This window comes from Homo sapiens, chromosome 8 (assembly GCF_000001405.40).
Source record: "Homo sapiens chromosome 8, GRCh38.p14 Primary Assembly".
NCBI classification, from domain to species: domain Eukaryota; kingdom Metazoa; phylum Chordata; class Mammalia; order Primates; family Hominidae; genus Homo; species Homo sapiens.
This window is the reverse complement of record NC_000008.11, coordinates 13909785-13921029: the sequence shown is the minus strand read 5'-3', so window position 1 is coordinate 13921029 and position 11245 is coordinate 13909785. Positions and strand designations below refer to the sequence as shown.

The following is an 11245-nucleotide window of genomic DNA, read 5'->3' as shown; positions in this document are numbered from 1 at the left end:
TAAGAAAAAAATAAGATACAAATTACTAATATAAAAAATGAAAGTGGGATATCAGTACAGATCCCACAGATATTTAAAAGATAATAAAGAAATACTATAAACAACTCTAGGCTCATACATTTGATAATCTAGATGGAATGGTCCAATTTCTTTTTTTTTTTTTTTTTTTTTTTTTTTGAGACGGAGTCTCGCTCTGTCGCCCAGGTCGGACTGCGGACTGCAGTGGCGCAATCTCGGCTCACTGCAAGCTCCGCTTCCCGGGTTCACGCCATTCTCCTGCCTCAGCCTCCCGAGTAGCTGGGACTACAGGCGCCCGCCACCGCGCCCGGCTAATTTTTTGTATTTTTAGTAGAGACGGGGTTTCACCTTGTTAGCCAGGATGGTCTCGATCTCCTGACCTCATGATCCACCCGCCTCGGCCTCCCAAAGTGCTGGGATTACAGGCGTGAGCCACCGCGCCCGGCCGGTCCAATTTCTTTAAAGGTACAATCTACCACACTCTAAGAAATGCACAATTTGAATAGGCCTATATCTACAAAAGAAACTGAACTAATGATCGATAACTTTCCAAAACAGAAAGCATCTAGAAAAGCCTAGATGGGTTTACTACCAAATACTTGTGGTAGAAATGATACCACTTCTCCACAATCTCTTTCAGAACACAAAAGCAGAGGGAATACTTCTTAACTCATTCCATGAGGCCAACATTACCCTAATACAAAATCAGACCAAGGCATTAGAAGAAAAGAAAACTATAGGCCATTATCTCTCATAACCATAGATGTAAAAACCTGCAATAAAATGTTAGCAATAAAATAATGATGAATAAAAGAAATATGTGACCAAGTGAGATTTATCCTGGGAATGTAAGACTGATTCAGTATTTGAAAATCAATTAATGTAATCCATCAAATCAACTGGGTAAAAACGACAAATCACATGATTATATCAAAATATGAAGAAAGGCATCTGACAAAATTCAACACCCATTCATGTTAAAACTTCTCAGTAAAGAAGGAATAGAGAAGAGATTCCTCAACTTGATAAAGAGCTTTTTTTTTTTAAATTACAGCTAGCATTATACTTAATGATGAGAAACTTGAAGCTTTCCCAAGGCAAGTAAGTGTCCTCTCACTACTCCTTTTCAGTATTGTACTGGAAGTCCTTATTAAGGCAAAAAAAAAAAAAAAAAAAAAAAAAAAAAAAAAAAAAAAAAGAAAGGTATAGTGATTTGGTAAGAAAAAATAAAACTGCTGATGACTGATCGTCTATGTAGAAAATTGAAATGGAAACAAACAAACAAAGAACATCCTGGAACTAATAAGCAATTATAGAAAGGCTTCAGTATGCAAGATTAATGTACAAAAATAAAATGCTTTCCTATCAATCAATACCAGCAATGAGCAAGTGGAAAGTGAAATTCAAAACACAATACCATTTACATTAGCAAAACTAAGAAAATGAAATGCTTAGGCATAAATTTTACAAAATATTCCCAAGTTATATGCTTTTAATAAAAAGCACACAACTGATGAAACCAAAGAACTAAATAAACTGAGAGATATTCCATATTTGTGGCTAAGACTCAATATCGTCAAGACATCAGGTCTCTCCAACTTACAGTTTCAACACAATTTCAATCAAAATATCAGAAAGTTTTTTACTGGATACTGACACGCAGATTCTAAACTTTATATAGAGATGCAAAACACCCAGATTTTCTAATACAATATTGAAAAATATCAAAGTCAGCGAACTGACACTACTCGAATTCTAGATTTATTATAAAGCTATGGTAATGAAGATAGTGTGGTATTGGTGAAAGAATAGACAAACAGATCAATGGAGCAGAATAAAGACCCAAAATATAGAGGCACAGAAATTTATTCAACTGAACTTTGATGAAGGAGCAAAGGAAAAATAATGGCACAAAGACAGTCTTTTCTACAAACCTTTCTGAAACAATTGTACGCCTACATGCAAAAGAAAAAAAAAGAAAAAAGAATTGAGACACAGACCTTATATTCTTCCACCCAATTATCTCAAAATCAGTCATAGAACTAAATGTGAGATACAAAACTGTGAGACTCCTAGAAGATAATGTGGGAGAATACTTACATGACCTTGGGTATGGTGATGAATTTTTAGATCCAACACCATGCATGATTCATGAAAGAAAAAAATGGTAAGCCAGTCTTTATTAAAATTTAAAACTTCTGCTCTGTGAACGACACTGTCAAGAGAATAAGATGGGCCAAAAACTGAGGAAAATATTGCAACAGACATATCTTTGCAAAAGATTCTTGTCCAGAATATGTAAGGAACTCTTTTATTTTATTTTTATTATACTTTAAGTTTTAGGGTGCATGTGCACAATGTACAGGTTAGTTACATATGTATACATGTGCCATGCTGGTGTGCTGCACCCATTAACTCACCATTTAGCATTAGATATATCTCCTAATGTTTTCCCTCCCCCCTCCCCCCAGCCCACAACAGTCCCCAGAGTGTGATGTTCCCCTTCCTGTGTCCATGTGTTCTAATTGTTCAATTCCCACTTATGAGTGAGAATATGCGGTGTTTGGTTTTTTGTTCTTGCGATAGTTTACTGAGAATGATGATTTCCAATTACATGAACTCATCATTTTTTATGGCTGCATAGTATTCCATGGTGTATATGTGCCACATTTTCTTAATCCAGTCTATCATTGTTGGACATTTGGGTTGGTTCCAGGTCTTTGCTATTGTGAATAGTGCCGCAATAAACATACGTGTGCATGTGTCTTTATAGCAGCATGATTTATAGTCCTTTGGGTATATACCCAGTAATGGGATGGCTGCGTCAAATGGTATTTCTAGTTCTAGATCCCTGAGGAATTGCCACACTGACTTCCACAATGGTTGAACTAGTTTACAGTCCCACCAACAGTGTAAAAGTGTTCCTATTTCTCCACATCTCTTGAAACTCAACAATGAGGAGATGTGTAGCCTGATTGTAATAAGAAAACATGTTCCTCATATGTCATTGGGAAACTGCAAGTTAAGATAATGGTAAAATGCTACTGCACACCTATTCGAATGGCCACAGTCCAAAACACAGAAGGCATTAGCTGCTGGGGAGAATGTGATGGGCAAGAACTCTCACTCATTACATGTAAGAGTACAGGGTGGTGCAGACACTTTGGAGGACAGTTTGGCAGCTTTTCATAAAACTAAGCATGTGTTAATTAAGTGATCTAATGGTGGCGCTGCTTAGTGTTTACCTGAATGTGTCGAAGACTTGTGTCCACACAAAACGTGCACACAAGATTTTGTAGCAGCTTTGTTCATGATTGACAGGACTTGGAGGCAGAGAGATGGTCTATCAAGCCAGGAAAATACATGGAGGAAACTTGGGTTCGTATTGCTGCGTGGAAGAGGCCAGTCAAAGAGGGCTGTATATTGTGTGATTCCAACTATGTGACATTCTGGAAAATGCAGAATGATGGAGACAATGAATAACACATGGTTGTTGGCAGATTAAGGCAGCAGGATAGAGGGAGAAACAAAAAGGCTGAACACAAAGAAGTTTGCAGGAAATGAATTCATTCTATATAATGCTACACTGGTGCACATGTGCCATCATATGTTGAGACCTGTAGAATGCACAGCACCAGGGAGTGAAAACCATAGTATGAACTGTTGACTTTGGGTGGTGATGAAATGTCAACGCATGTTCATCAATGACAACAAATGCATCACTCTGATTCAGGATGTTAATGGTGGGGTGGGAGGAAGGGATTTATGAGAAATCTTTGTACTTTCTTTTCAATTTTCTTCTGAATCTAAAACTTCTCTAAAAAATTTCTACTTAAAAATATATTTGGATATATATGCTTTTAAAAAATTCTAGTGTTCTCCAGAGTAAAGCAGAAAAAAAAATTTACCTAAGGAATATATATTCCCATATTAAACACATTAAGATCACCAAGATTGTGTTTACAAATAGTAAATTAAACATAAGTAACTGCAAAATGTTTTGTCTTACAAGCTATTATTTTGTTTTAGAGAAAATAAAATTCAAAATTGTGAGCTTATGATTTTCATTCACGTCATTAAAATTTTAACTTTCTAAATCTATTGTCCATAGTCAGAAATTACTCTGCACAAGTATGTGCTTTTTGAAATGTTGCTTAAAGGATTTTATTTTCAGTCATGCTGCAAAATAAAATATCCGACTCTTAGAACAGAATATTAGAATTATCTGATCCTCAGATAATAGAATTTAATCAGATAGAAGCAAGATAGCTGTGATGGACAGTTATTTATTGAAGCGTAATATGATTTTCAGTCTTGATAAGCAAAGTGCCCTCTTTAATATTATGATTGACAACTGAAGTGAAATCAGCTTTAAGTACAGAAAGTAAGATAAAAGCATTTTCATATAACCCTAGGAAAGTTTGATGTTGTACACTGTGTATTAGTCCATTCTCGCACCGCTATAAAGAAATACCTGAAGCTGGGTAATTTATAAAGAAAAGAAGTTTAATTGCCTCACGGTTCTGCAAGCTGTACGGAAAGCATGGTGGCTACAACTTCTGGGGAGACCTCAGGAAACTTACAATCATAACGGAAGGGGAATGGGAAGCAGGCACACCACACATGGCAGGAGCAGGAGGAAGAGAGAGGGGCGTAGGTGCTACACACTTTTAAACAATCATATTTTGTGAACATTCACTCACTATCACAACGGTAGCACCGAGGGGGAAATCTGCCCCCATGATCCAATCATCTCCTACCCTGTCTCACCTCTAACATTGGGGATTACAATTTGACATGAGATTTGGGTGGGAACATAGATCCAAACTATATCACTCTGGAAATGAGTCATTAGATCACCTAGATACCAATACTTCTCTATCATAGAGTTACTCTTTTTTTTTTCTTTTTTTTTTTTGAGATGCAGTCTTGCTCCATTGCCCAGGCTGGAGTATAATGGTGTGATCTCAGCTCACTGCAACCTCCGCCTCCCATTTTCAAGTGATTCTCCTGCCTCAGCCTCCTGAGTAGCTGGGATTACAGGTGTCCACCATCACACCCGGCTAATTTTTTATTTTTAGTAGAGACAGGGTTTCACCATGTTGGTGGGACTGGTCTCGAATTCCTGACCTCAGGTGATCCACCCACCTCAGCCTCCCAAAAATGCTGGGATTACAGGCATGGGTCACCACACCTGGCCTCACAGAGTTATTTTCATAGAATTTTAAAACCACTTCACTGAGCTCTGAGGCTTGCCATCCATTCTCATTTCTTTTTGTGTTTCTCAGTGACTCACACAATACCTGGCTCACTAAATGTATTAAACAACTGTTAACAAAAAACAAACCAACAAAAAGGTATAGGATGAACTCTGTAAAATATGTCATTCCATGGGGATGTACTTTTGTTACTGGAAGCAATATATTTATTTTGTCTCCCATATAAAGGTGTTTCCAAGAATCAAAAGAATATTTACAAGTTGTTAATAAAACTACTGAGTAATTGCCCCCAATTAACCAATACGCAAGGCTTTGAAATCAGACATTCTGATTCCAGAGGCTGGCTGGTACCTACCACATCAAATTGCCTCCCAATATAATCAAGGCCTTCAATGCTGATGAAAATGTTTTTAAGACTGAATGATTAAAGTTTAAGGTCAGATTGATAGCTGATTTTAAGACTGGGAAACAAATGTACATACTTGTTATTTGCCTAAGGTCATCAAGTTTCAAAGCCACAAACTTTAGTCTGAAAGCTAATTCATATATTAAAAGTTAAAAAAAGTGGAGAAATTATCAAGCACATACTTTTTTTTAAAGCATTCTTACAACTATCACTAAAGACTCTGCCATTCATAAGTTTTCTGTATCTCAACTAATTATAGGCTGAACGATTCCTCACCAAAGAAGCAATTGGTAATTTTCATTTTCCAAGAATAGCCACAGTAACAAAGGTAGTTAAAATGAGTGGTCATTTGCAACATTTTCCCTCCATCTCTCTAAAAAATCTTGTATAGAAAGACATTTATAAGCTTGAGATGAAAGAGACACTGTAGCTCTAGCACAGAATGCTCTCAGTGGAGGCTGAGGCGGAAGGCGGGCATCTATCTTGTCTTCAAGTAGCTTCACTGTTTTGTGTAAAGTGGAGATTTTAGGTATAAGTTATGAAAACCACTTTTGTAAATTCTGTGGTTTCACTCCCTCCTGATTATTATTATTATTTTGTTGTTGTTGTTGTTGTTGTTGTTATTTTGAGGCAGAGTCTCACTCTGTCGCCCAGGCTGCAGTGCAGTGGCCTAATCTCAGCTCACAGCAACCTCCGCCTCCCAGATTCAAGTGATTTTCCTGCCTCAGTCTCCCGAGTAGCTAGGGCTACAGGAACACGCCACCACACATGGCTAATTTTTGTATTTTTAGTAGAGATAGGGTTTCACCATGTTGGCCAGGCTGGTCTCGAACTCCTGACCTCAGGTGATGTACCTGCCTCAGCCTCCCAAGTTGCTGGGAGGGAGGCCCACCACGCCCGGCTCCCTCCTGATTATGGAAGAAATGTTGGTAGTTGAAACATGAGACTCCAAACTGGAAATAGCTTTGTCTCCATTGAAAAATGTCATATGCACTTTGGAAATACAGTCAAGACTGATTCTTCCAATTAGGCTCTCCTGTTAGATACTTTCCTCTGAAGCTCATATTTCTGGTAGGTATATAAATCAGGGTGTTAAAAGTCAAGATTGTATACTTTCATAGGTCAGGGTTCTTTCATACCTCAGATGTTTGAGAAGTATACTGAACATGATGTTAAAAATCTTCTACTTATATTCTTTTATCTGATGTGTGGGTCATTTAATTTTTCCAGGCATGCTTCTTCGTCACCCTTAAAACACAGGTGGTGACTTGGATAACCTCTAAGACCTCCCATGATAGTAAACTCTCTGGCTTTAAATATTCAGCCACAGATTCTTGAGTATCTTTTTTTATACTCAAGTCTTATCTACTCTAACTTTAAATCACTTTATCAGCTTGTCTCTTAGCTTCATACTATATAATAAACTATATTTCTCTCTAATGTGAGTGTTCATCAGACCCAGTATCAACCAGGGTCTCTCAGAAAAAAATAGGTTACATTTGTATACACTTGTGCCTAACTCCTGCCTTAGTATTTACATTTATAAAGCTTTTTCAACTCTATGAATCTGAAGTGTAGTAAATGTACGGCATAGTATTAACTCTGCAGAGAATGATAAAGTTATTATTTGGCATGATTTAAGAGTATTCAGAGACTTTAAGACCAAATGTCCTATTGTTGGAATTACATAGTGTGTAGCCGTTTCAGACTGGCTTCTTCTACTTAGTAATATGCATTTAAATTTCCTTAGTGTCTTTTCATCACTTGATAAATGCATTTCTTTTTAGCTCTGAAAAATATTCTGTTGTCTGAATATACTAACTCTCATTTATTCAACCATTCATCTAATGATGGACAACCTGGTTGCTTCCCAGTTTTGGCAATTATGAATAAAGCTACTACTACAAGCATTTGTGTGCAGGTGTTTGTTTGGATTTATTTCAACTTCTTTCGGTAAATGCCAAGGGATACAATTGCAGGACTGCATGGTAAAAGCATGTTTACCTTTGTTTTTTTTTTTAAAAAAAAAATAAGTATCCACCGGGCACGGTGGCTCATGCCCGTAATCCCAGCACTTTGGGAGGCGGAGGCGTGCAGATCACAAGGTCAGGAGATTGAGACCATCCTGGCTAATACGGTGAAACCCCGTCTCTACTGAAAATACAAAAAATTACCCAGGCATGGTGGCGGGCGCCTGTAGTCCCAGCTACTAGGGGGACTGAGGCAGGAGAATGGCGTGAACCCAGGAGGTGGAGCTTGCAGTGAGCCGAGATCACACCACTACACTCCAGCCTGGGCGACAGACCGAGACTCCGTCCCCAAAGAAAAAAAAAAGTATCAAATTGACATCCAAAGTGGCTGTACCATTTTGCATTCCCACCAGCAATGAATGAGAATTCCTGTTGTTTCACATCGTCATCAGCATCTGATTGCAAATATTATAGGTTCTGGCCATTTTAATAGATGTTACAGTGCAATGTGTTAGTTGTAATTTTACTGTGTAGGGTTCAAATATATTTTTATTAGTAAATATATCAAAATTATTGACTTTATTTTTTTCCCTTTTTATTTCCCTTTAACAAAAATTAAACAGCTCTTGATCTTATTTCAAATACTTAGTACTTTCTTCCTAGAAATTACAAATTTATGATTACTCCCAGATAGTCATAGTGTATTTCTTATCATAACTAATGAATATGTAGTTAGAACGTGACCCACTATCTTGCTTGTCATCTTGTTTAATGAGGCTTGGGATGAGATGGACAGTTTACATTACTTCTAAAATTACATGTATTATCTTTAATTATAATAGTTTACTAGAAAGTTAATGACTTGAATTACAAAATCTATGTCCATTTCATAGGCATTCACTTTCAAAACTAAAAAAAAAAAAAAAAAAAAAAAAACACCTCTTGAAATCTCCCTTTGACATCTCTAAATGAAGTCAGTAACACAAGGCTGCTTTATTTATTAGTGATGTTCCCAGGGAAAGAAGTACTGGCAAGGTAACAGAACTCTTCAGATGAAGGCAAATTCTATAGACAAATACACAGATTCTCTGTAAATTAAATAAACAACGAGTATTGTTTTTATAAATTTAACACATACAGTATTTGAATATTTTGTAAAGAATTACATTTGTAGTCAAATAACGTTTTCATGTATTTAGAAATTACTTTTGTTGTTTCAAAGTGCAGAAAAAGTTTGGATTCATGGATAAGCTGTTGAAAATGACAACAGTCTTAAACGATTGCCTTCAAATCTCAATCCTTTATTCTGAGTTCTATAAAAAAGTAGTTGATTTATCAACCCAATGCAATGTACTAGTAATCGCCATGCTATTTAAATATTACATGTAATACATTTAAACATGTTTGTTGTTTTCATCTTTGACAAAGTTAAAAATATTTTGAATATTTTAGAATTTGCACTACACGTATGTAGAATCCCTAAGGTGTGTGGCTAAATTATTTACTAAAGGTTATAAATTATAAGAGGATTCTTATTGATACACTGGGCGACTGGAATTGTCATTCTCTTTGATAACATTCTACTTCAAGTTTTATTTTGGTGATAAAGATAAACCTATTGGTGTATTTCCTATAGAACGCGTAAGAAGCATTGAGCTGATTATCCATTGGATTGCCTGAGAGAGTGATTTTCCCATGTTTCTGAATGAAGGCTTGACACTTTTAGGAGAAGGATACTTTTGTACCAAAACTTAACTCTTTAAACTCGAAGAGATAAAAAGCAAACAAAAGTTTAAATTACATTTTTATTTAACATAAGCTTCTAAAGAATAAAAAATACATATATATATATACACATATATATATACACACACATATACATACACTTTCTGGAAGATTAATGTTGTCAAATTTGAGAAATTTTTAGAATAACTGAGTTATCAGTTTTGTGATAGATTATCAACTGCTGTTCTTATGAAATTCTTTTATTGCTCAAATTTTTTCACTGAAAAAAACTGAAAATGCAATCAGTCTATGAGGGATCTCTGTATTATTTTTGTAGGAAGTAATTTTTCTGTGGAAGAATTTATTTTTTCTCCTTCAAACTCTATGATTCAAACATCAAGTAAAACTCAATATACACAGGCATATTGGTTGTATTTTATCCTATGATTTATACAGACTACTGTAACTTCTGGAGCTTTCTCAGAGGAGAAAAGAAGATGAATGTTTTATGAGGAAGGGGCATACACTGTAACCATTTTATATATTTAGTGCCCTCATACATTTCTCTCCAAAAAAAAATACACTTTGTAACCCAAGAACAGAAAACCAAACACTGTATGTTCTCACTCATAAGTAGGAGTTGAACAATGGGAGCACGTGGACACGGGGAGGGGAACATCACATACTGGGCCCTGTCAGCAGTTGGGGGACTAGGGGAGGGATAGCATTATGAGAAATACCTAATGTAGATGACGAGTTGATGGGTGCAGCAAACCACCATGGCACGTGTATATCTATGTAATAAACCTGCACTTTCTGCACACGTTTCCCAGAACTTAAAGTATAATAAAAATAAAAACACACTTTGTTATTCCTTTTTAAATTATTATCTTAATCAAAATAATAGGTTTGCGTGGTATGAAAGGTCAAATAGCTCTGTGAGGAATATGGAAAAGAGTAGCCCCAAGCACCAGCAGGAAAAAAAATTATTTTTCTTCAATCCTCATAGGTTCTTAGTTGGAATAGATCCTTATGACAAAAGACAGGTTAACAAAGGAAAAACAAGGAGAAGTTTATTAACATATATATTATATACATAACATACATGGGAAATACCCAGGGATTGAGTAGTTTTCAAATAAAGCGGCTTTGAATTTTAGCTTAATGTCAACAGGGAACAGAACATTTTTAGGGATGTACGGGGTGACAAATTTTGGAAAGGCAAACAAATGACAGATAAAGGCTAGTTAGTAACTTTGTTAATGTAGATTCTCTGGTACCATCTCTAGGCCAGTAAAGTTCCAATGCTGTATTCAGTGGTTAATTGCTGTTCTTCTTGGTAGAAGGGTAGGCAGGATACCTTTTGTGTTTATAAATCTATGTCTTGCTTTTAGGCAAATAGAGGACAGTCAGGGAGCTTTTCTGAATTTGCTTCTTCTAAATTACCTTCAGCTCAACAATCCTGAATAGTTAGAGATGGCATATTCTGATCTCCCCTATCCCACTCTTTTCAATTCTGATTCCTCTGCTTCTTACACATTTAGGTCCACAAATACAACTAACATCCTTATCCTGCTATTTTTGTTTCCAGTTTTAGATGTTACTTAATTAGATGATGTTACTTAATCAAGATGATTAGGAAATATTATTTCAAAATATTATTCCAAAATAAGGTAATAACCAACATAAAGACTAACCTCTCACAGCAGAATGCAGAAACAAAAAGAAAATGACAAAATCTTCCCATACCTCTTGTAGTCTTGGCTCAGAGCTGTCAAAAGGTCATCTCTGACCATGCAGCCTGCAATCAGTGGAGGAAAGGGATGAATATTCTACCTGCTTTCATGGGAGGCGCTGTAAAATCTCAAGGCACAGGACAAAGATGACAAAATTCAGAAACAAGAACA

The 11245-nt window shown here is 36.2% G+C and overlaps 1 annotated feature.

Annotated features, from left to right (window-relative positions):
• Nucleotides 756-925: an enhancer, noted in NCBI's record as "experimental_101359 CRE fragment used in MPRA reporter constructs". NCBI's record gives its function as "activates a minimal promoter by MPRAs in K562 erythroleukemia cells, with activity observed for both the introgressed and non-introgressed 8:13777699 variant alleles {active_cell/tissue: K562}" and the evidence as "EXISTENCE:reporter gene assay evidence [ECO:0000049][PMID:34662402]".